Genomic DNA, 26,197 nt, shown 5'->3' with positions numbered 1-26,197 from the left:
ATTTCTAAAAGGAAAACATTTATGATTCTCTAGTTATCAACAAGAATTAGAATAGATATAAATGTTTTTAAAATTGAGAATATATAAATTCAGTTGGAAGTTAATTACTGCTCCTAAGATTACTAGAATGTAAAATGCTTATTCACTCTAATTCACTCATGTCCAAGCAAAGATTAAATCTTGCCTTCGGCTAAGTTCCACAAGCCCAAGTCAATTAAATACATTTTAAAAGTGTGGATGAATCCTGTATGAGTAGGCCCAACTAGAGAGCTCAAGAACAGGTGCAACACTGTACTGGGAAGACCAGAGGAAACAGAGCAAAAGAAAGAAAAACGCACAGAAAAAAAAACAAAAAAAAAGAGGTGTATCTAATTTATAAAGACAAAAATAAAAGAATGTTAGAATAACAATGTCTTTTATCTTTGTGGACTCAACGTGACCCACATGTCAACTAACTCTATCCTTATATCCCACATTATATCATCTACAAAAGAAGTGAACAAACTTATTATGTTCTCCCATATAAACAAAAGAGTGAAACAACAGGTGAAGTGAAAGAGGGAATGGTGTTAGGCAGGTGAATGGTGGCTGGCAAAGGATACTGTGCTGGTATGGGGTGGAGAAGAAATGCTAGCGGAGGGGCTATCATCACCACCAGACAGCTCCAACTGATAGCCCTGCTCTCTGAGTCACCCTGACACTGTCACTAAATCACCAAGTTAAAAACACAACTTTATCTAAGTTTTCCTAAGATACCTAAAGTAAAACCCCATTACAAAGAATTTCTTGGGATATCTGAATGTATGTGTGATGTACTTTTACCTATTTGCAGAGAATAAGACCAATTCTTCTTATTATCACATGCATGACTCACATATCTAAACATAGCATGCTTCTTATACACTGTATTACCTAAAATAACTATTAATTTAAATCTTTTCCATTTCAACCTTTTAACCTCATTCGATAACTGTAGCCACACCTCCTCCACATATCAGTATATCCATTAATTTAAAAAGTGCTGAGAAGCCACTTGATATCAATTTTTAAAAGCCCAAATAAGAATTTCTTTCAAAGACATTTTTTACAGTTAACACTCATCATGTAAGACATTTACTTTAGCATAGCTAAAATAGATTTTTAATTATATAAAAGTTTCAACACATCACCTGCTCCCTCAATTTCCTGCCACCAAATTCCACGCTCATTCTTTCCTATTATAACAGACAGTGACCTTTTCAAAGTCAATCTCTGCTATAATCCCTGCAAAGCCTTAGTATATTATTATGCTATTTTATTTTCAGCTTCTCACTCTCTCCTACCAATTTTCCAATATTGAGGTTTCCTCTTCTTAATTCTGCATCTGTCCTCATCACAAAATTTCCTCACCTTACACTTGATAGTTCAACCAACTCCCACCAAATCTGTCCCCAAAAGGTCAACTATGACTTCTTTGTTGCTATAAATCCAATAGATACATATTTTCAGTCTTCATTTTGCTTGGTAACTCCGCAACAAAGATTTCATTTCTGGTGTAGACAGTTTCCTATTCACAACTCTCATATCCTGGCCTACCTCAAGTCTTCCTGCTCCTCGTTCAGGTCCTCCTTAGTCTTGATCCCGGAAGGAGAGTTAGATCCGAATGCTTCCACTGTATGCACAACTTCCTTCTCTCTACAGCCTAATTTCTTTTTTTTTTTTTTTTTTTTTTGAGACGGAGTCTCGCTCTGTGGCCCAGGTGGGAGTGCAGTGGCGCAATCTCGGCTCACTGCAAGCTCTGCCTCCCAGGTTCACGCCATTCTCCTGCCTCAGCCTCCCGAGTAGCTGGGACTACAGGCGCCCGCCACCAGGCCCGGCTAATTTTTTTGTATTTTTAGTAGAGACGGGGTTTCACCGTGTTAGCCAGGATGGTCTCGATCTCCTGACCTCGTGATCCGCCCGCCTCGGCCTCCCAATGTGCTGGGATTACAAGCGTGAGCCACCGCGCCCGGCCTACAGCCTAATTTTATGGGTGCCTACTTTAATATAAGTCCTTCTTGATAGATTATGTTCTTTATGAAACCAAGGATTATACTGATTACACTGTATGTGGTTTATCACCATACTGACAATTTCAAAGCAAAGTACCTGGCATAAACACTCTGTAAACTGCCTGAATTATTTTCACCCAATAAGCTGTTACTATATAACAGATTTATCACTACAAAATGAACTAAATGGATGCTTTGGTTCAAATGGATTTGCTTTTTCAGGACCCAGAATGGCTTGTTGGAAATCTCTAAATACATTCAACACACTAAAACTAATTCTCTATTTATTTAACCTAATAAGTGTAAATGACATCGTCAAGTTTCTACTAATGACAGTTAATCACTCTCAAAATGGACAAAATGAAAGTATCACTGGTACTACTCAATTTATATCCTAACCAAATAAAAAATGTGTTAACTTCAAGCTGGGCGCGGTGGAGTTAGAGACCAGCCTGGCTGACATGGCAAAACCCCATCTCTACTAAAAATACAAAAATTAGCCGCGCATGGTGGCGTGCACCTGTAATCCCAGCTATTCTGGAGAATGAGGCAGGAGAATCGCTTGAACCCAGGAGGCAGAGGTTGCAGTGAGCCAAGATCACGCCACTGCACTCCAGCCTGGGCGACAGAGTGAGACTCCATCTTTAAAATAAAAAACAAACAAACAAACAAACAAACAAAAAAACATGTAACTTCAATCTGCACATTTTAAAGAAAAAAAAAAACCATAGAGACTTAAACAGCATTTCTGGGAGGAAAATATCTAGCCCTTAGCCTATAACCAGCAAAGACTTGTAATATGAGATAATTTTTTAAAAATTAATTCAAACTTATATTAATGTTTTGCTCTATTATAATTCTTTTAGTTTTCAGGTACTAGCAATCAACATCTACAACAACAGTGAGTCATGCTCACTGAATGTCAGAATTTCCATATAGGAGAGACAAAGGGGATGCAATCTGGGATGGGTATGAATTTAATTCGAAACTAGATTTGTTTGGCAAGCACACTATTTTACTTAGATTGTACATTTATTTGTGATGGCTCTAGAGGAATGTTGGAAATTACACCTAGGGATTAGAGCTTCCCCAAGACTGTCACAAGCAATGCAAATCCTTCATTTTAAGCAAACCAAAATGCTATTAATAAAGTTAGAGATAATAGCAAAATATGCAGTGGCTATTTTTCTGTTGTATATTTAATAATAAACAAAAGACATAACACATTGAATACATAATCACTTAACTATTACAAACATTATTATTATATAAATTGAAACCATACTTAAATTTTCCAAAAGACTTTTTATCATGATGAGCCAAACACTTGAACCATCTGGATCTCCAAAACAAGCTGCAATAATATCCTCAATATTTATAAGCTGGGCAAAGTTAAGGAAGAATTCCCAAGAGATGCATTGGAGATATGAACAGATAATTTATTCTTGTCTACAACTCTATAAAAATAGAATCAGTTGGATTGGAAAAAATATGAAAAATGAGTTTCAATGAGGTGACAAGAAAAAGCAGGAATGAAAAGTATCTGATCTTTCACACCTTAAAGCCTATTATTTATAATTTTATTGTACTGCCCATATATAAATATGAATGTTAAACTAGAACACAACACTTTATACTAATTTTCAATGTTTATTAACATTTTTACACAGCTGCTACATAAGAAGCTGACAACAGAATCTGCTTTAAAACATTTACATGACCTTACCTTATACAACTGTAATGTTTAAAAGTGCTGGCAGCTTTTTGACATTCAAGGCACAACTGAATAGCTCCTGGATAATCTTCCTCCTTAAGGTAACAACAACAGGAGTCATTGGAATAGAAACATTTTTTCTTAAAGCCCCTGATAAAAAAAAATCTCTGTTCATATTCTAACCAAAAGTTACAGAATCAAAAAACTTTAATTCCTCTTAGAATATCAATGATAGATAAGTGACAAAATATAAGAGGCAACTAGTTCCAGGCCTAAAATATATACATAGAAGAAATATTTAAAATATTCTATTCCTTCAAAGTAACAGCCCCCTGAGACCATTTCCATGACTTATGGATAAATCCTACATTAAATCATTAGCTGCTTCACAGGAAAGGTTTTCTTTAACTGTTAACATATCTTCTTTCAGTACTGCCTACATAAAATGTTTCAAAATAGTATGCATTCTATTTGTAATTGATAGTCAACAATTTACCACCAAGAAATCAATAAATAGTTCTAAAGAAATAAATTTAGAAAAAAAACACTAATTAATAAACTCAGAGTATTTTTATCACCTAACAGTAATTTAATGCCCAATGAATTTTTCATATGGGTTTCTGAAACCCTAGTTAGCAGTAATAGTTGAGAAGTAATAAAACAATTATACAGAAAACCACAAAAACTTTTCCCTATGCTCAATTCTAAATTCAACAGATGCAATTCAAACCACTGGTGATGCTGATAATGACAAAGTACCTACCCCAAGGAGCTCAAGTATTATGAGGAGACACACATATTACATTATGCTTTGGTGAACCTTATGACAGAAGTAGACAGAAAATGCTAAGAATGCATCAAAGAAAAAACATATGGCTCACTCAGAAAAGCAATTAATACATGATACTGAACAAAACTAAAGTATCACACATTCCTTAAATTACTACTATATGTTAGATGAAAAAGATGTTAATTTTTATTGCTATTTGGACGCAATACAAACAAGTTAACATTCCAATGTTATCAGAAGATAAATGTTTTCCCAAATACATTTGCTTTTCTAAATGAAGTAATATCATGTCAATAGAAAAAGGCTCCAGAGCAAGAATCTTTGACGTCTAAAAATCTTACATGTCTAAAAATATTCTTTATATCATAAACCCATTTGAGAAAAATGCACTTCTGAATTTTGTCTGCTTTACTGTTTCTATATATCAGTAGGACCCTAAATTTCCAAAACTTGTTAACTTACCTCCAGCATTTCACTTAACCGTACATCTGTTCTTTGCTGAAAAAACAAAAATCAAAGGTAAAATCTGTTTCAACCACAAAATTCAGTTTTAATTTTTTTAAATGACCCATATATACCAATGTTTTTATAGTTCTCAGAGATTTCAGAAGTCCAATCAGCAACTGACGTTTCCTTTGATTTGCAAGAAGGCCTAAACTAGCTTGAGTAAAACCTTCCTTTGCAATATTCAAGTGTCTGCAAAAGTGAACAATAAATAGTTAAAAGTTTTTTATTATAATAAGAATACTATCCACACAGAACAATTAGGTAACTAATGAAGCAGTGAAATGGATTACTATTAAAACCAAGGATTTAAACTACTATTTGACAAATGTACTCAATGGCCAGTCTAAACCAGCATTACTCAGAACACCACGAGAAGATTGGTGCCAATTCACAACCTGCTAGTGGTCTATAACAAAAAATTACAGAAACTGAGAATAAGCGCTTAAAAACACAGTGCAAAAACTGACAGAATAATTATTCTTTGTGACTCTAATAATTAAAAAAATTAAGACTGTATTATGTCTTTCCTTCTTTATTTCATTTGCCTAGTAATTTGTTTTTACTGCATTTTTAAAAAATCACAGCCTGTAACAGATTGGAAATTTTAGAAAGAAAAAAGTAGGTGCTTTACGACAAACAGTTTGTGAAGCACTAGTCTAAATAATATAAAAATAGTAATTTTTTAAAACCCATAAGTACACTTAGAGATATTTCCCACAAACCCTCTTAGTGTAGTCTTTAGATCATGATATATGTTCACTTAAGGAATGATATTCTAGAAACCACATCCATAATTTAAAAAATCAATTATAAATTATAGATTCCATAGTTATTCTTGAAATATTGTTCAGCTTAAAGAACAAAATATCATCAAAAGCAATACCTTCTCCCATTTGTACAGATAACAGCAGCTAATTGAAGACCTGTCTGCAATGAGGTAACTCTTTCAAGTTCCTATGGGAAGATTAGGTACAGGTTATTGTTGGAGGTATTTTATTTTTCTTTCTTATTTATATAGTACTCTAACAAAAACTCTAGTCAGATGCAAAGAAAACCTGCTTGAAAAACAAAGTAGCAACAAAAATACCTGAACTTGAAAACTATTAGTATATTTTTCACAAAATTATTTAAAATGACTACTTGTAACTGATTTTCACAATGACAGATGACAAAATATTTAGTCAGTATTGCTTGTAAGGAAATCTAGACCCAACTTCTTGTAGACAGGAATAAACAAATACCAGTAATATATCTGTTTAAATTCCTACCCAAGAGAACTTCACAAGGTAATTAAAGGATATGACAAATATGATTTCTGTTTACTAAGATGCTTTGACAATGAAAGTCGTCATCTGAACATTGGTAGACATTTCAATGGATTTTGAAGGCTCTGATTTTCCGATGAAAACACAGATTCAGTTAGACAGTACCAATTTTATCATATTTTAAAGCCAGATTGTTATATTGCCAATGAGTGGTCAATATTGGTGAATCTATTTGTTTAAATGTTAATGGGAGCAATTTTCACTGGCTCTTCTAAAGTTTGAAAAACCCAAGAGATCACTTTAGAATCATATATAAAAACCCTTCGCTTCTTCAGTTTGGTAAATTACCCCAAAAGAAAAAGAAAAATATACATACATACATATACACAAACACACCCAAAAACAGTCAATATGCTGCTACAGAATTATTGACAAAAAATACAATATTTTAACAGTTTCAAGTGTAAATCACTCAAACATTTAAAAATTCTACTACAAAAAATAACAAATATTATCCTACCTTTACATAAGCAGGCTGTTTTTCAAGGATTAAATCTGCCACTTTTTTAGATACCTATAAGAAGATGTAATCAAACAAAGGAAATAAAAGAACAAACTTCATGCTTTCTATGATATTTTATATTTGAATTTTTAAAAGAATATTCCATAGATCTCCCCAATAACTTTGGGAGCAGATATTGGCATACTATGGCCATACACATTTCCCTGGGCTATGAAATTAGTAAAAGAGGTAATATAATAAAGCACATAGCACAGGTCCTGGTCCTTAACAGAAACTCAATAAATGGTCATTATTATTGTTAATAATATGTGTATCATTATCTGATTTAAGTAACATTAACCAAAAAGTGTAACCATCTTTAAGGGAATAGGATTTGATTGAAAAAGATGAAATTGTTAAGCAGATTTTTAATCAACTGAATTTATGGCGACAATATCTGGGAAAAAGAACTTGCTTGTATCCTTTAGATCCTTTATGTTGCCTAAGAAGACAAGCAAGTAGTTTGGTCCTCCACTTCTGAAAAGCTGAAAACATGTTTTTTGGAACGCTATGAAGATATCTAAGGTTGTGTGTATTGTTCTATGAATAATATTAACGTATGCAAGTTAGAAGTATAATGATTTTTGAACATGAGGCTCTAATTCCACCATTTCAGGGTCTCTGCCAACTTCACTAACAGAGATAGCACATGAGGCATGAAGCAGGACACACAGAAGGTATTTAGGGAGTTTGCTCCAGAAACACAACTGGCTCCCCTTCCCCAGGCCAACTGAGAACAAAACATTGAACACCCACTACACTACTGCATTAATCCTTTCACATTTTCTTAATCTGCTTCAAGCATCTTTGAAATTACGTACATTAATTTTTAGATACACTCATTGTTTTTGTCTAGAAAGAGGGATTCCATTAAGGTTAAGAAAATCAAATTTTAAATGGCTTTTAGACTTTAATTAATGAAGAAATATCAATGTTAATCCTAAATATCATTTTAAGAATTCCAAAGGTTCCACAGGATTGTCTACTAATAGAGAGTACTGGTCCGTGGCCTGTGGGGAACCAGGCTACACAGCAGGAAGTGAGTGGCAGGTGAGCAAGCGAAGCTTCATCTGTATTTACAGCCGCTCCCCATCACTTGCATTACAACCTGAGCTCCACCTCTCATCAGATCAGCGGTGGCATTAGATTCTCATAAGAGCTCTAACTCCATCCCTACTGTGAACTGCACATGCAAGGAATCTAGGTTGTGTGCTCCTTATGAGACTCTAATGCCTGATGATCTGTCACTGTCTCCCATCAGATGGGACCGTCTAACTGCAGGAAAACAAGCTCAGGGATTCCACTGATTCTACATTATGCTGAGTTGTATAATTATTTCATTATATATTATGATGTAACCATAATAGAAATAAAATACACAATAAATGAAATGCACTTGAATCATTCTGAAACCATCCCTACCCCACCCCTGCCAGTCCATAGAAAAATTGTCTTCCACAAAACTGGTCCCTGGTGCCAAAAGAATTGGCAACCACTGCTCTAGAGCTCAAATCCCTTCTCCTGCCCAAGACTGCCCTATACCACCACTGCTACCTCCAAGCAGACCCTAGCACCCACTGAGACTTCTGAGTGTAATAGAAAAGTATACCTTCCTTTGTTTGACAGTTGCATTATTAAAAATCATATCTTAAATTCAAACCGATAAACTTATTACTACTGGTCCTTTTGTTGAAAAAAATTAATACACATGCTACCATTAATTAATCCCTACAGTAGAGTTTGAATTTCATAAAGTGGGTTTAGCCTAACATAAAGAAATTATACAATCAGAGAATTTTACCGCATTAAAGAAAATGCAAGCCTATCACTTTACTGATAAACAAAAGGGAGTCACTGAGGTTAAATGATTTACTCAACATCATAATTAGTGACTACAATTCAGACTTTCTGAATCTCAGGGGGACATTAATTCTGAGAGAATACTCCATTACAGGGCCAGGCAAAGTGGCTTGCGGCTCTAATTCCAGTGCTTTGGGAGGCTGAGACAGGAGAATCGCTTGGGCCCCAGAGTTCAAGACCAGCCTGGGCAACAGTGAGATGTCATCTCTACAAAACGTTAAAAAAATAGCCAGACTAGTGGCACATGCCTGTAATCCCAACTACTCAGGAGGCTGAGGTGAGAGGATTATTTGAGTCCAGGAGGGAGAGGCTGCAGTGAGCCATGATCGTGCAATCGCACTCTAGCCTGGGCAACAGAGCAAGACCCTGTCTCAAAAAACAAAAAGGAATACTCAGTTACAAAACTATGGGTAGGGAAATCATACGTCTATGACAAGGAGCCTAAAGGTACTTACTAATCTAAAACAAAGTTCAAAGTTCTTTGATCACATTTAGGATTCCAGAGAGAAAATTCCAAGTTCTAGAAGTAAATCTACCAAGGTAACATAAGGAAAACCATACGCATTAAATTTTTAATGTAAATGCATCATTTGAATCAGTCATGTTAAATAACAAGATTTGTTTCTATGTTAATTGTTAGTTAAAACCATAAATCTGCAAACATTATACCTCTCTGTTGTGTTTCATCTAGAGTTTTGCCAGAAAGAAATGTGTTTTTTTTTTACTTACTGCAGCTTGCTGTTGTTTCAATTTGTCTCTATACGCCTCTAATTCTTGCAAATTGAGAACAGGTGGAAGCTTCTACAGAAAAAAATTCATGAAAGAAGAGGAAAAAATAAATTGTTTAATTTGGTTTCATTTACCTGGACCCTTCTGACTAGTGAACTACAAACTGTGCATACAAAACAGTGTCACATCCCACTGCCCTCCATGCCACCTGTCCTCCCAACCTCCCTCCTAGGTTCCAACCACAAAAGCCTATACATCTTTAGTACACAGCCCTCTGGTTCCACCCCTCATTCAGCCTTGTTACCCCCACTGCTGCTGCTCTGCCTTCTGAGAAACCCCACTACCACTGGGGACTCTGGACCCTAGGCCGACAGACACTGCTGCCACGGCCTGTGACAGGAGAATGTGAGACAGTAACTAACCTAACCCCAACTCTACCATCCACAGATATATCTCTATTTGTTTATGATAGAACTCAAAACAGATTTCTCCTCTGGAATATTACAAACCATAAGTACTACTGTGTGACAGTTGTTGGACTACATTCTGGATTACATCAGCTTTCAGAGGACAGTATGGGAAACTAACCAAAAAATGCATACCATATACAGGGAAACAATCTCAGTCAACTGACTGATGAAACTTCAAACTGAGCTGGGGACTGACTGTGAATAATGCATATAAAGTATATATGCATACAGCATTTGGTTGTATCTAAGACTAAATTTCACTATTCTGACTTTCGTTAAAGTTCTTATAAATTTAAAATGTCAGTATTATAAACACTATGGCATAAGAATTTTTATCATCACTAAACAATTATGTAAATACATATTTTGTAATTAAAAGTCTGAGCTTCTCTAAACATAGATACTATAAAATAGGATAGAAACAGCATACTAACACATTAAATACTAACAATTGAAAACCAAAAATACAGAAATGTTTCCCTGAACGGTTGTATTTAAAGTTACATTCAAAAAATAATAATTTCATCGCCAAACAATGCTGACAGTTGATTTAATCACAATGTGGTAATCACAGACCTATTCTGGTACCAAAAATACATAAATGCCTCAAAAAAGTATTCAAATCTCATAAATCCAATCACTGAACAAAACAGGCCTTAGTTATGTTTTAATGAAATTCTGTTTACCTCCAGCTCATATTTAACAATATCAAATGAATCCACAGAAAAATATACTTGTTCAATACTATTAATAAGCTCTTGTTCAGCTTGAGGGTCACTTGGCTGTTCTCGAAGTTCCCTGAATTCTTCCTTTAAGAAAAAAAAATCACAATTATAGTAATTGTAGCTGTTAAAATTATATCTGCATGGAAATAAATGATCATTTGTCTTAACAGTCACATCTACCTGGAACGATTCTGACCAAGGATACAAACCAACAGAAATCAGAAAAGTTCACAGGAAATTAGGAACTAGCCGACCATTAACACTAACAACTACAGAAGAAAACTAGCCAGTTTGAATATTTAGATTTTATTCTCAATTCCTTGCACATCAACAAGGTTGATAAAAATTTTAATGTCCAACAAAAGAAAAAAAAGTGACTACCTAAACATATCATACATACATATCACAGATATATAAATTTTACTATTTAATAATATTCTAAAATCTGTCTCACCACAGATAATAAGGGAAGAACACCTCAATAACTTCTGGGTCACAATCAACTTTGGAGTCCTGAATAGAAGACATCAACCCTGCTAAAAAAATCTCAGTACTCAGCTAAGAAACAGTGGCTCCAGAAAAGGTTCACAAATTTAGTTCTGTAATACTATGAGGCTTCCTTCAAAGTGGATTGCTGTTACAATTAATGATCTGATTATGAAGCTAAACTTCTCTATATGATAAAATGCTTTCTTTCTAATGATACAGAATGGAGGTTCTGTGGATTTGAAGAACAGCATGACAGACAAATCCCTAAACCCAATGTCAGCATCCCTATCCTATGCAATTTCACTGCATAATCAGATAAAGCTTCAGTTAACTAGTAAATTTTTACAATTCAGATACCCACTCCCCTGCCACACTAGTTAATCAAGACATTATAGACATATCACAAGTTAGCCATTTGATTTTTAATTCAAATTAACCTCAAATACATTTATATACACAAAAAGGAACTATTGTTTTAAATCATTTTCAGTAATTAAAATAACACAATAAAAATACTAAGGAAATGTACAAAAATTATCTGGTCAGTTAAAGAACAGTATATTTTTCTTTTTTCACTTTTTATGATACTTTGAGTTCTGGGGTACATGTGCAGAATGTGCAGGTTTGTTACATAGGTATACACATGCCATCGTGGTTTGCTGCACCCATCAACTCATCATCTACATTAGGTATTTCTCCTAATGCTATCCCTCCCCTAGCCCCCCACCCCCCAATAAGCCCCAGTGTGTGACGTTCCCCTCTATGTGTTCTCATTGTTCAACTCCCACTTATAAGTGAGAACATGCAGTGTTTGGTTTTCTATTCTTGTGTTAGTTTGCTGTGAATGACGCTTTCCAGCTTCATCCATGTACTTGCAAAGGACATGAACTCATCCTTTTTTATGGCTGCATATATTACAAGGTATATATGTGCCACATTTTCTTTATACAGTCTATCCTTGATGGGCATTTGGGTTGCTTCCAAGTCTCTGCTATTGTGAATAGTGCCGCAATAAACATGCGTGTGCATGTATCTGTATAGAATGATCTATAATCCTTTGGGTATATACCCAATAATGAGACTGCTCGGTCAAATGGTATTTCTAGTTCTAGATCCTTGAGGAATTGCCACACTGTCTTCCACAATGGTTGAACTAATTTACACTCCCAGCAACAGTGTAAAAGCATTCTTATTTCTCCACATCCTCTCCAGCATCTGTTGTTTCCTGACTTTTTAATGATCGCCATTCTAACTGGCGTGAAATGGTATCTCATTGTGGTTTTGATTTGGATTTCCCTAATGACCAGGGATGATGAGCTTTTTTTCATATGTTTGTTGGCTTCTTTTGAGAAGTGTCTGTTTATATCCCTCACCCACTTTTTGATGGGGTTGTTTTTTTCTTGTAAATTTGTTTAATTTCTTTGTAGATTCTGGATATTAGCTCTTTGTCAGATGGATAGATTGCAAACATTTTCTCCCATTCTGTAGGTTGCCTTTTCACTCTGATGGTAATTTCTTTTGCTGTGCAGAAGCTCTTTAGTTTAATCAGATCCCATTTGTCTATTTTGGTTTTTGTTGCCATTGCTTTTGGCATCTTAGTCATGAAGTCTTTGCCCATGCCTATGTCCTGAATGGTATTGCCTAGGTTTTCTTCTAGGGTTTTTATAGTTTTAGGTCTTACATTTAAGTCTTTAATCCATCTTGGGTTAACTTTTGTATAAGGTGTAAAGAAGGGATCCAGCTTTCTGCATATGGCTAGCCAATTTTCCCAGCACCATTTATTAAATAGGGACTCCTTTCCCCATTGCTTGTTTTTGTCAGGTTTGTGAAAGATCAAAGAACAGTATATTTTTCAAATAGAGACATTCTAGATTATTTTATTGCAGGGCATATTTTTTATTTGTAAGAAGAGCCTTGCTCAGATATCTTTTAGAGTTTAACTTATATTTTGTATTTGTAAAACTAACTATAAAATTATTCCCTATTAGTAATTTCAAGCCAAAAAAATAGAACAAATCTAAAACTCAAGAAAATGTTGACTGTTTAAATGTAAAGTTCCAATAAACTTAAAAGAGAAGGCAAACTCATAAATATCAAACCTGAATAATCAAATATGCTTGGAAAAGAAAATCCCTCTTCTGTGCTAACTCATAAAATACACCGAGAAAAAAAGGTCAATGACATAGCTATCACTGAGTCAGCGTGCAATCAGTTACTATGATTGCAGTAAGAAATCCAGGGTCCCAACAGTGGGAACTACATTCCTGAAGGGGTTTATCTACAACACAGGAATCCATTTAGCACCCTGGACAGTGGTGCTGCCGCACAGACTTGGTTAAAACTCACACGTGTGGAAGGGAAGGTTACCAACTAGCCTATCAACAGGCAGCCTCCATGCATCCAATTGAAATATGAAATGAAAGTCAGAAATGAAATGGAAGAGGAGGTCTGCACTTCCTGGAAATCTCTTTCCCTAAAAGTCCACAGGCATTTGAAATATCAGCTTCATATACTGTAAGCTGAGGGAGGGGAGGAAATGAGGCCCAAGTGAGGACATGGCAACACTGCCTCCCTAGGAATTCTGCAGTCTGCAGCAACATGAGCAAATAAATGCAGTTGATACCATTCAAGACAAAATATTTGAAGATTACAAAAACTGCTACGATTTTTTTAAATCAGAAATAGAGCCAAGCCAGAAATTCAAATAGACTGCAACAATTGAGTACTTTCATCTTAAAAGCATAAATGTCAATGACATATAACACCATGCTGAGGTTCTCCATATAGTACCTAATTGATTGATAAGAAGGTAAAGATACTTGGATTTTTAGCTGCAATTCCATCATTAACCCTCGGCAACTTAGTCTCTTCATGCCTAGTTTTTTTTTCACCTGTAAAGGGCAAACATGCATTCTCTCTCTCTCTTTCTCTCTCTCTCTCTCTGTGTCTCTCTCAAAATGACAGTGAAACAAATATCCGAAGTTATTAAGAATGCCAAAGAAAAAACATAATTTATAAGTATCTCACAAGTGTACATTTCAAAAACATGATGAATCTGTAAAAGGAGTACAATCTGTATATGTATGTCAAATGCTATTCTTTCCTAAAGAACTAAGCAATTAGTATCACAGAGAGCATACAACCCCATATAATTTCAAAGAACTGACATGGAACACCTGATACTCTGAAGTGTAAGAAACCTGGACTAAGGAAAGGAATAAAACCTAGAAAATCAGAAAAAGAAATGTAGCATACAAAATAGAATTAAATCTAAAACAAATGCCCCTATGTAATATTATTTCCCTATAAAATATCCTCTCCTTTAAAACAATTTCATAACTTCTATGTGAAAATATACATCTGAACTGGAACTTATTCAAACCCCCTTCTGATTAGAATCCCGATCACCGTGTTCTTTTTAGTCCCACTGAACTAGCAGTCTGTAAAGCTCTGCTTCTACCTAATCATTGTCCAAATGTTTCATCGCTGTTAGGGCTGCCTGCTCAATCAGACTGTACACTTCTTGAGAACTGAGATTTCTCTTCATTCTCCATCACGCTGCTCCACAGTGCCAAGGCACACCATAGATAATCACTGATCAAACTAAAATTAATTTACAGTTAATTGCAAAAAATGAATATAAGACAAAAGGAAAGGAAAAGACAATATGCTCTTGTTTCAATAGTCAAAATTTTCCACCAACTCTTAGTAAAACATTTCTTTCTTTTAATTAGAGATAACGATGTGAACTGATTTAGGAATATTTTACACATGTAAATTAGAAAAATAAACAGAAGCAACCAGATTGCCTATTCTTAACACAATTACTACATAATTTAATAGAAACTGATTCCCTAGGGTGGGAGATGTACAAAAATACATAATTCTTCACCTAAAATAGAACCAATACATAGGTGTGAGCCCAAATTTTACATAAACAAAATGAACAAAAAGTTTCCTATAAAAAAATTACAAGGCAAAATTGGGGGAAATGAATACCAAATGGAACTTCTTACACCATACTTAAACATATGATTTAAGAAAAAAATTATAATAATATTAGATATTCAAACTAAGTCTAGGATAAAATATTTCAGTCTTAAAAATGTTTAAAATATTTTTATAATAAATTTTATGTCACATAATAATTAATAAATACATAGTATCATTAATAGTGATATAAATGCTCTCTAAAACTTGAAAGTCCAAAAATAATTTGTCAACTACAGGCTACCAAATGTGCTGCCACACAACTTGCTGTCAATGGTAATCAACTAAGCAAAAAGTATTATCAGCATTACCCCAGAATTAAAGCTGGAGAAAAAAACTACAATTAAAGTAATGAATTGGAATAACAAAGAGGAGAAAACAAAAGCATAAAAGGCAAAAAATGAACAAATCAAATCTCTCTCCCATACTATCATTAGAAACTAACCTGCCTACTTTCAAAGCTCTATAACCTTATCTTCCCCTAAAAAACAAATTTCATTTAACAATTTTTTAAATTCCCATTATGTAAAAATTTCCCATACTAGGTCATACAGGAACGAAAATGAGTAAAATATAGCTCTTCCCTCAAACAGTTGTTAAAATAATAGGAGGGGTCAGATGAATAAGTAAGCAATGACAATGCACAGCAGAACATGAGGGTGATGCAAACAGAATGAAGGCATCAGACGGTGGGTTCACATCTGATGGAAGTGGTGGCATTTGGAAAATATGAGAGAATAGGTAGAATTTCAGATTTAGAAATTGGGAGAATAGGGTTACAAATATAAAGCAAAGCAAAAGTAAAAATATTGAATCGAGAAAGTGCACAACAGGTTAAAGCAATAAAGGGTGGCTTCCGCAGGATAGAAAAATGTCACAAGGGAGAGTCTGCATGTATGCCAAAAGACAAATGCAACAACTGAGATTTGTTTAAATTCAACATATTTTTTGTATATTAGAACCATATTTTCTTCACTAAAAGTAAAACATCTTAACACATATCACTGCCTCAGGTTAGGCTATATCAAAAACAGGCAAAAATATTCAATATTTTCTTAATGTAATAAACCAAGCAGAATTCAACGTTTTAGAGGCTGTGTTTTTCCAGCAGTCACAACATGCAATAAGGTTGCATATAATACCACCTAGTCTATTTTTCTATTTTGATCATGTCTGAGATAAAGCTACATGAACATGTACATAAATGTACATCAGAAATATAACTTTATGAAAAGTGAAGAAAAACAATCATATTAGAGATTTAAGTCAACATCTTTGATTTAGCAAAGCTACTTTTCCTCTCAATACAACAAAAAAGGTATTATGGGAATTGGGGATTCAGCTATGTAAAACAATTTGAGCCCTCAAATGTAAGGTATTATGATACATTCCCAGTATGTTTGTGGTTTCTAAGGAACTAGGCTATAACTTTACCAAAAAATTTTCCACTTAAGAGTTCATCACTCAAGGGAATATATTCAAGTTTAGGAGGAAAAAAAGAGAGACTACTAATTTTGTATTTAATCACTACTTTTAAATTATCTAAAATACCACACTAATTAAAAATACTAATCCAAATTCAGGGCTCTTAATTCTATTCACTTTTATAAAAAGTTATGACAGCTTAACAGTTTTCCTTACCATTATTAAACTCAATATTTTCTGCAATTTTGAAAAGTAATTTAACCTAATTTCTAAACCCACATAACAGCTTGGAATCTCATAATCTTCAGTACTAGTTTTTATTCAAACAAAAATATGAATGCAAATCTTTACTTCACAGGTCAGATTTCAAAACTCTGAAAAAAATATATAGAATAAAAAATGAAATGCACACCAACTCCTCTTTCTGTACTTAGCTCATTAGACCAGTCCACATTATACACCTGATTATATAACTCAGTGGCAGAATATAGTGCTTATATAGCTGATTATATAACTCAATGGCAGAATGCAGTGTATGTGTGTGTGTGTGTTGAGAAGGAAAGTGGAGAAATTTTACAAGCATGATTTGCGGTTTGCCACAGCAAATCTTTGATCAAAGACTTTTTTTTACTGTTTGCATTTCTTCATTCGTCAACATAAAAAATCTATTCTGTTATAGGGAAAACGGAAGCTATAATCTTACCAAAGTTAACATCACGTTAGGGCTCTAACTGAAAGCAAAAAAAAAAAGAAGCGTTTAGTGACCAAAATCTAAACAGAGCTAGAAGTAAGAACAAAACATGAAGTTTTCAATATTCAGTCAGTATTACAAAAGTCATTAATCACTGAACAGAAATAGATTTTATCTCTTTCCAAATGAAACAGGATTCAAAACTTATTTCAAGATCACAGATACCCTAAAACCACATGCCACGTAAGTTTATAATGAATGGCCAGATGTCTGATTACATGAGGAAATGGCACGTTCTCCTAAAATCCCACTAGAACAACAATAATAATCCGTCAAAGATAGCCGGTTCATCAGTTTCTGTGTGCATTTTAAATAAACTTATCTTTTAAAGCCTACCCTGTTTTTCTTCAGGCTTTTAGTGCCATCTAGTGGAATACTGTTGAAGTTACAATTTAAAAAGAGGTTTTGGGCAAAATGATTTATAGAACATTTTAATAAAAGGTTATTGGATCACATTTTAATCCAGCTTTATAACACAATCAAGTGATTAAGATGATGTATTTTAATATGTGTCACATGCCTGTCCTTTCTGGGGCTAACACTGAAGAAAAGACACATCATAAATCAAGATATACAGAGAAAAATCGAGTGTGTACATCTTAATTTTGTTTTTCTTTTGTTTTCGAACATCTCATCAGACACTTTCTCTAAAAGAAAACAATACTGTCTATTCTGAGAAAAGACAACATCACAGCACCTTCAATCCCAGTGCCTTTCACAGGTTCTTCCACCTTCCAAATCCAATAAAATCATCAATCTTAAATTCTGCTTTTTAAATGTCCTTCCAATGCAACCCTTCTCCATTTCCTATACCTTATGTTCCTGTTTTCTTCTTAATCAGTATCCTTGTCCCCAACCTCTACTCAACAACTCACCCCATAAAACTGTAATCTTTCTTAAAAAAATTAATCGCCAACTCTAAAAGATCCTGAATACATTTCTACCTACTCCACATCCTCTCCTAGCTGAACTCTGTTGTGCCTCTACTCCTCTGCAATTATCTATTTTTGCTTGTCTCCCCCACTCAGGTTGAGTTAGGAACAGTCTTGTACCTCTCTGCATCTTCAATGATTAGTAACTGCCTGGTTCCATAAGTGTTTGCCAAATGGACTGTATGAATGAACTTATATGATTTGCTATGAAAGAAGGGTTAAGAATCTCAAAGCATCTGAAGCTATGAGAAGCATAATTTCATTAATGGTTAAAAAGAACACAACTAAATACTGTTAGCCATGAGCACCTAAGAAAAACTCTTAAATGATTTTGCAGATCCATAGTTAGAGTCTCCCTTAGTACCACCTGCAGAAGACACCTGTCCTAAATGATACATAATCCTAAATTGAAAGTCTTTATCATGATCACTAAATAAATTCACCTAGTCATAAACCTCAATACTAATCCTCTCTAATACAGACACCAATATGCAAATCTTCTAACAAAAACTGCTCAAAAAATTATTTAGAATGTATATTTCTTGTGTCATATTTCTCCTACAAAAATTACAATATAGAAAGTATAAAACATTCGAGCAAAAAGGATTCCAAAAAAGTCTAGTTCAATAGCATCTTTTCACAAATGAAGAAACTGAGGCACAAAGCATTAAAATGACTTCCTTTCAACAAGCTGTATGTTTAAGTCAATACTTCAACCTATGTCTCTTGACTGTGATTCAAGCACACTCTCCACAAATTTTGGTAAAACTGTAAACCAAGCTCTGCAGTTAGCAGGTGGTTTTAGGATTCTTTTAATGGATTTTAAGAAGTCAAGTCAAATCGGTTTATCTGATTTCACAGAAGTACTAGAAACTCTAGAAAACATTCTGCTCAAATTCCTAGAATTTATATAAGTAGAAATGCTTCAGAGTAGGCAGGTACTCAATAAATATTTGTTGAATGGATGAAGTATAAAAAAATTATTTCTTATCCTTAAACAATTATATTATCAAATGTTGACTGCAACAGACATTTATTTTGTCACCTCATCCTATATTTTTCTTTCACGAAAAAAAATCAAAGGTAAACCAATCATGTAAAAGTAAAGACAGCTGAATCCCATTACTATTTATGAGTTAATTAAATTGAGGCCAAAAAAACCCCCTTATCATTAAAGAATACTATGAGGAGGCAATGCTTCACTAAAAACTCGTAAAACAATATTAGTATCAATACTCTTTTTCAGGTTCACATTGTGCCACTGTGGAAGTACTATGGAAAGTGTATATTAATAAAGGCTGGATGTAGATTTTATAAGGTTCTGAATACTGGTATTTTTACTTTTTAATCAGGGTTCAACAAATACTCTCAAACACAGTCCAAATAAGTTCTATAACTAATAACGTTGTGGCTCTACTATCATATATTATAACAAATACTAGTTGTATTCTTAATTCTTGTAACCAATTAAGTAAAATACCTTTCATGTTTAAATGGATTAACAAACTTAGAAAATACTACCTAATTTCTTATATCTTTAACTCTGCATGAAAATCCCACTAATTTGAAACATAACAGAATCCATTTCGAAGAATGAAATTTTAGGTCATTCTATCTTATTCTACAAAAATTCTCAGTAAAACTTCCAAACAATTTTTTAGAACAGTTCCTCTATTTCCTGTTGCTCCATTCTTGAGATAATATTCTCATCTTGGCCATTGGTTCCCAAACCTGGCTCTACACTGGAATTACCAGGGAATCTCTAAATATTACTGACACTTGCCTCCACCCAAAAACGGTGATTTAATTGGAATTGGCCATGGCCTGGGGACTGTTGATTCTAAATGTACAGCAAAGTTTGGGCACCACTGATCTTGGCTCTGAGCTATTTAAGCTAAAATTCCTGAAATCTGTCTAAAAGTTTCCTTTCCTCTAGCAAGTTCTGAAAAGAACCTTAAATGTTTTCTACTTTTCTATACTATTTTATCCACCCAAATTCCAAATTTCCAGTATATAGATTACCATTTGACTTGCATCTGCTCTTAAAATCGGGCACAGGATCAGATTGTCTATAAAATGCAGAAATTGTACCAGATGGTTTATACAGTTTCTTCCCACTTTGAATTTATATAGTTCTAAAATAAATAAATAAATAATACCATCTGGCTTATCAAGCACACCTAGTGCCCTTCAGTTCTCCTTCACTACCCTCCTTTTTCTAGCAAGTTGAAGCACATACAATTTGCCAATATTTGACCATTTTAAACTTAAACAGCCATCATTTATCCTAACATTTTTCTCCTACTTATCCTTTATACTGGAACCTTTTCATGTAACAGAACCCAAACTAACCTATTTCTTTCTTGAAAATGCCACTGAAATCTCTCAATTCCCTGTCCTAACTTAGAAAGATACTATGAAAAGAAAGGAGCCGATTCCTGAAGACCAGGCATATGTTTTTTAAAAGTTGTACCTACAGTTATAAGTGAGGCAGAGCTATTAAATGAAGTTAATGTTTATAAGTTTTCCATATAAGAATTAACAGTGACTACTTAAATAGCACAAATTGTTAAGTTCAAAGAGTACTCCCCTAAGCAAAACTAATGGGTACCTTGCTTTTTAAACCTAGAATATACTGTGAGAATTTTCTATGTTATATATATATATATATCACCAAGTTAAAAACCCAAGCTTCCAAATAATTTCTAGAGTATGATACCATTTTTAAAAGGTTGTATAACTTATAATACCATTATAAAAAGCTATACTGACTACTTCCTGTAAAATAACTGCCAATTTCAAGGAGTTTATCTCATCGCCCTGTTTCCTTCACAGTATTATAATCTGTAATCGCCTTACCCCTGCTTGAATGTAAGCTCGCTGTCTGACAGCAGGGAAGTTTTGACTTTTGGAGAGAACTTTTGTCTTTTCACTGCTATACTGCCAATCCCTAGAAAGTATCTCTAGCACATAGAAACTCAATAAATTTGTGGAATATGCATAGGGAAAAGACCAGTAGGCAATGTTAACCTTGACAGTGTTGGTGATTTTTGTGATTTTTTTTTTAAGATACCTTTTTCCGTTTACCATGTTTTCTGTTTAGAGCATACATTAATTTTATATTTAAAGCAAAAGTTATTTCAAAATAATCATTTGAATTAACATTTTCCATTTTGTTAAAATGCTTTTAATCTTAATTTTAAAAGATCTTAAAGATCTTCTTCAATTACATCAAATTTCAGGTCATCAAGAACTAGCAACAACATTAATTTCAAAGCAATTATACAAAAATAAATCATTAAAATATATGTGTTATGATCTAAGTATAAAGTCTTATCTAAATTGTGAAAAAATACTGAACATTAAAGCTACATCAAGCTATGCTGTGTAGGGAATTTCTGAATATGAGTCTTCTTAACTCCTGATCTCAGTACTGACTTCAAACCTCATCCAAAGACTCAGTTTACTGACTGGAGCTTTGCCACTCTCTGGACCCAGCAACTCTCATGTTCTCAGAACCACCCAGAAAGAAGGCAGAAGCTCTGCTCACCCTCCATCATTTGTTATGCTATAGGAGAACACAGAAAAAACAAACAGGCAGATGAAGCTTGTAGGGATTTCTTAGTGTAAGGTTAAATGTAAGCTTATAGCATCAATACATTTTTTACTATTAACTGTTTTATTATTTAACTAACTTAGCTTCTTAGTATGTGCTAAAGAGACCAGTGCTTTAGGCTTACTCTTCACCTGAACCATTTATATTTGCTGACCTTGTGATCCCAGACTGGCCACTCCACCCAAGGCCAGTTATCCTAAAAGTACAGACAGCACTGGTCACTGATGGAGCTAGGGGTGTACATTTAATAAGAAGACTTTGTAATGAGATCACCATATTCACTACCAACCAGTACTGGGAAAACATCATGGCTCATGGTGGAAACACAACAGAAAGTTCTTGTTAAGACTGTAATGTATTTTTTTAAAGAGGCTCACTCATCAATTTGACATTGATTCTGCAATATGTAATACAATCTAATTCAAGGTATGTTCATAATGCATGATAATCTTTTTCTTAACTCAAAGAAATAAAGAGAATTATTGTCAATTAATTAGGATTTATGGCTATCTCTTGTTTCCCAACCTTTTCATAGTCATTAATTTTTAATAACATTACATAAAACTATACGGAATGCTTTTCTTAAGTTTTTGTCTGAACCATTTCATGCAAAAGGGTTGGTTATAATTTTATTGCATTTGGAGAATATGTTTCAGCCTAACCCAAAATAAAAACAATGCAGTAAATACAAAATTCACTTTAGCAGGTAAGGCACCTGAAAGAGATGAGAAATCATCCTCCTAAGGAGCTGACACCGAGGTGTAAGGAGAGGCCTTAAACTGCTGATCAAGAGAAGCACACCCTGTGTATTCAAATGCCTGATGCAGAAAACAAACAGTATTTTCACGTATCACTCTCAAATTAAAAAATACAAAAACAGACATTCAGAAGTGCCAGCTTAATCTGTGATGGAGCAGCTATTCACATGGGCAGCTCCAAGCAGCAACACTCCAGAAAAACAGCAGGGATTTAACAATACTTAATAATTCCAAGGGGAATCTAGCTAGCTTTCAAATAACCTATATAAAATTTGTAAACTGAGAAATTCACGTGAATATCAGAGGATTAAAATCTAAAATACCTACAATCTAGGAGATAAGTTATACAATTCAGTATAAATACTATGGTTTAGATGCTTTTTCAAAAACCTCTGCTCCACAACAAAAATATAATCATGATTTTTGGCACAGAATGTTAGGAGTATAAAAAGTCAGTAGTCAACTATTTCACTTTATTTCTACAAATTACAGCAGATAAATCAATGAGAGAGAGAGAGAGAGAGAGTGTGTGTGTGTGTGTGTGTGTGTGTGTGTGTGCATACACATATATACAACTGCTTTCAGGCTAAGAATTTAATATAATAAATTCCAAATTTATCAAGTTTGCATTTTTTGCTTTGCTATAATGCATCATACATACTGCATCCCAACGTGTAATGAAACAAGCCCTACACCTACTATACAATAAAAATTTACCTAGCTTATCTTAACAACCATCTGCCTGTGGGAAAGAAAAGCTTCTGTGAATCAATTACTATCCAGAGGCAATCATATTTTCTTAAGGAAGTAAAAAGTCACGCTCACACGTGTAGCTCAATACCTTTCCAGGGACCCGGAGACTCTCTATGGCACCAAGATCACTGAGGCTTTCTTGAGGGCTTTTCAGACCCTTAAAAAAATAATAAGATGAGGAAAATTTTAATCATGCTGAAGAATTATAAAAGGATAGAATACACCTACTGAAACAGAAATGACCACTTTAAAAATAGAAATTTTCCTGCTTCAAAATATGGAAGATATATTCTAAAAGCAATCATCATTTAATACATATAGTACTATTATTAAATCAGAGAAGGGTGTACTTTTGGTATTTTAAAATAAAAGAGTATTATACGGCAACTTCACAACTAATGGTAGAAGTCCAACCCATCTATGATTTGAAAACAGCCAAAAGTAAAGAAACTTACATAACAAAAAGCATTCTATAAAAGCCACTTGTATATACAATAATAATTACTAAATCCATCAGGAAAAAAGTCCAAGCAATAGTATTATGATTCACAGATACAATATACTAACCAACTAAGCTAACATATAAGTAATCCCTTCATTTTACTTGATTATTTCCCACCAATGTATCCAATTCATGCTGCATAAATTAAGATTGAAGTCTCATATCTCACTGTCTTTTACCTGTCCTTTAGTTCTTTGGTGCCCTGTACTTTCTATATTCACATCAACTGAGGGATTCTGAAAGCTTTATTTGTACCAGGGGAAATTATTAAAATAGAAAGAAATCAGCAATTTACATTTTCTTTAAAATCCTCTTTTTAAAAATAGGCTATTCGAAGCAGACATTTAATGTCCCTGCAATATTAGTTTTTAGGCAAAATTAGCTATTATTAATTTGAGGAGAGATTTATGATACAAATTGTCCTTTAGGTGCCCTATATTGGGGATCCTTAGTAACCAAAATATATGGTATGCTTATGTTGACTATTTGAGACTCAGAGCAGAACTTGCTTATCTTTAAACTACAGAGATGTGTATTTTCTCTTCCCTGTTGTAAAATACCACTAGTCATATCTAAAATTTTTTATTACAAAGTGCTCTGCCTCAACCGCAAGTTTTCCATTACCCCCAGAATATCTAACCTACCCACCCTTCTCTCCCCGTCTCCCTCTCTCAGGCACACTTACCACTCCAAGAAATGAGAAAGCAATACATCACTTTCAGAATTATCTCCTCTACAAAGTCTTCCTAAATCCCTATGCTCCAAAGAACACAGTATTTCTCAGTATAACCCTTGGATCATGTCCATCAACACCACCCAGGGAACTTGTTAAAAGTAAGATTCCTAGGCCCTAAAATAAACCTAATGAATAGGTTTTTCTAGATTTGGGCCAGGAATGTGCATTTTCCCAAAACAATACCTCAGTAAGACATCTTCCAAGACAATACCTCAGCCAAAGTAGTAAAGTTTTAAATTTTAAATATATCTTTCTCTTCCAAACTTTAAGTCCTAAGGAAAGGGAGAGACAAAGTCCTATTTGCCTCTGCAGCCCAGTGGCTAGCAAAGTTCCAGAAACAGAGTAAACAACAAAGAAATGAGTAAATTATTAGGTAGAAGTCATTGGTCAGGCTCCAATCTCCCACAAATTAGCGCATTGTTCCCATGGGAACATGTAATTGACTGCAAAAAAATTTCTAGGAATGCTCGCTGGAAAAAAAAAAAAGGCCTAAGGAGGTTTAATATGCCTTTCAATGAGTGAGGGAGAAAAATAGTATGTTACTAGTCTTGGGCGGTTTGTTCTTCCCTGTCTCGAATTCTCACCAACAGTCATGAGGGAATAGCATCAAAACTGGTAAAGAAGGCAAGGCTGAGTTACCAAACTACACTTCTATATACATTATATATGCACACATGAAAGTAAAACTTCCCAATTTGATTCAAAATCATGACCACCCCTAAAATATATTTTTAAAATGTAATTGCCATGTCTTTTAAACAAACATTTTTCAAAGTACACATGCTCCTCGACTTACAATTGGGTTATGTTCCAATAAACCCATCATATGAGAACATATGGAAACATACAGAAGAAAACAGACACTGAGACTGCCTGAGGGTAGAGGGTAGGAGGAGAGAGAGGATCAGGAAAATAACTATTGGGTACCAGGCTTAATACTTGGGTGACAAAATAATCTGTACAACAAACCCCTGTGACACGAGTTTACCTATAGAACAAACTTGCATAGGTACCCTTGAACTAAAAATAAAAAAAATTTTTAAACCCATTATAAGTGGAAAATACATTTAATAATCTCAATAAAACCATCATAAACTCAAAAATTCATTAAGTGAAACCATAGTAAATCGGGGACCATCTGTATAGATTTGCTTAACTAATCTAACAGAAATCCCTGAAGAAATATATCATATTTAATTTCTCTTTCCCCAGAGCTAGTCCGTAAAGAAACCAATGCCTGAAATGTAAACGTGATATATACCAATATCTAGAAAAAGTAGTCACCACACAACAATTCAATACCAATACACGGCAAATTTCTGCCAAATGTACAAAATAAAAGTAATACAAATTGAAAACCCGTGTACATGTTAGGAGGATGTAGAGTGAAGTGATTATAGCAATGGGCTCTGGAGCAGACCACTTGAGTTTGTATCCTGACTTTCTTGCTGTGGTTTTGAACAACTTATCTATCCTTTCTGTGCATTATATTCTATGATCATTCATAGGCTATTATAAGAAGTAAAACAGGCCGGGCGTGGTGGCTCACGCCTGTAATCCCAGCACTTTGGGAGGCCGAGGCGGGCGGATCAC

The 26,197-nt window shown here is 34.2% G+C and overlaps 1 protein-coding gene across 7 annotated transcripts in view, besides 3 other annotated features; it reads right to left on the bottom strand.

Moving 5' to 3' along the window:
* Positions 1-26,197, bottom strand: part of VPS50 (VPS50 subunit of EARP/GARPII complex) — a 128,758-nt gene that overhangs the window by 97,735 nt on the left and 4,826 nt on the right. For 4 of the 7 annotated variants that reach the window (NM_017667.4, XM_011516396.4, XM_047420601.1 and 1 more), the window contains exons 2-9: positions 23,455-23,523; positions 10,614-10,736; positions 9,458-9,529; positions 6,827-6,880; positions 5,925-5,995; positions 5,113-5,230; positions 4,997-5,032; positions 3,757-3,839 (exon numbers count right to left, since the gene is read on the bottom strand). In NM_017667.4, coding sequence (NP_060137.2) covers positions 3,757-3,839; positions 4,997-5,032; positions 5,113-5,230; positions 5,925-5,995; positions 6,827-6,880; positions 9,458-9,529; positions 10,614-10,736; positions 23,455-23,523 — 626 coding nt within the window. Of the gene's footprint in view, positions 1-1,575; positions 3,731-3,756; positions 3,840-4,996; positions 5,033-5,112; positions 5,231-5,924; positions 5,996-6,826; positions 6,881-9,457; positions 9,530-10,613; positions 10,737-17,259; positions 17,288-23,438; positions 23,524-26,197 lie in introns of those variants that run through there. The other 3 variants (NM_001257998.2, XM_011516395.3, XM_024446826.2) reach the window with 3 other exon arrangements.
* Positions 1,812-2,014: a silencer, noted in NCBI's record as "fragment chr7:92890687-92890889 (GRCh37/hg19 assembly coordinates)". NCBI's record gives its function as "represses an EF-1alpha promoter that drives an FKBP-Casp9 reporter gene in an ReSE screen in K562 erythroleukemia cells {active_cell/tissue: K562}" and the evidence as "EXISTENCE:reporter gene assay evidence [ECO:0000049][PMID:32094911]".
* Positions 1,812-2,360: a biological region, named in NCBI's record as "H3K4me1 hESC enhancer GRCh37_chr7:92890341-92890842".
* Positions 1,859-2,360: an enhancer, noted in NCBI's record as "H3K4me1 hESC enhancer chr7:92890341-92890842 (GRCh37/hg19 assembly coordinates)". NCBI's record gives its function as "activates a minimal SCP1, AML or CMV promoter by ChIP-STARR-seq in naive H9 embryonic stem cells {active_cell/tissue: H9 hESC(naive)}" and the evidence as "EXISTENCE:reporter gene assay evidence [ECO:0000049][PMID:30033119]".

Source organism: Homo sapiens, chromosome 7, assembly GCF_000001405.40.
Source record: "Homo sapiens chromosome 7, GRCh38.p14 Primary Assembly".
Classification (NCBI taxonomy): domain Eukaryota; kingdom Metazoa; phylum Chordata; class Mammalia; order Primates; family Hominidae; genus Homo; species Homo sapiens.
Note: the sequence above shows the minus strand (reverse complement) of the source record. Positions and strands in the feature narration are given on the sequence as shown.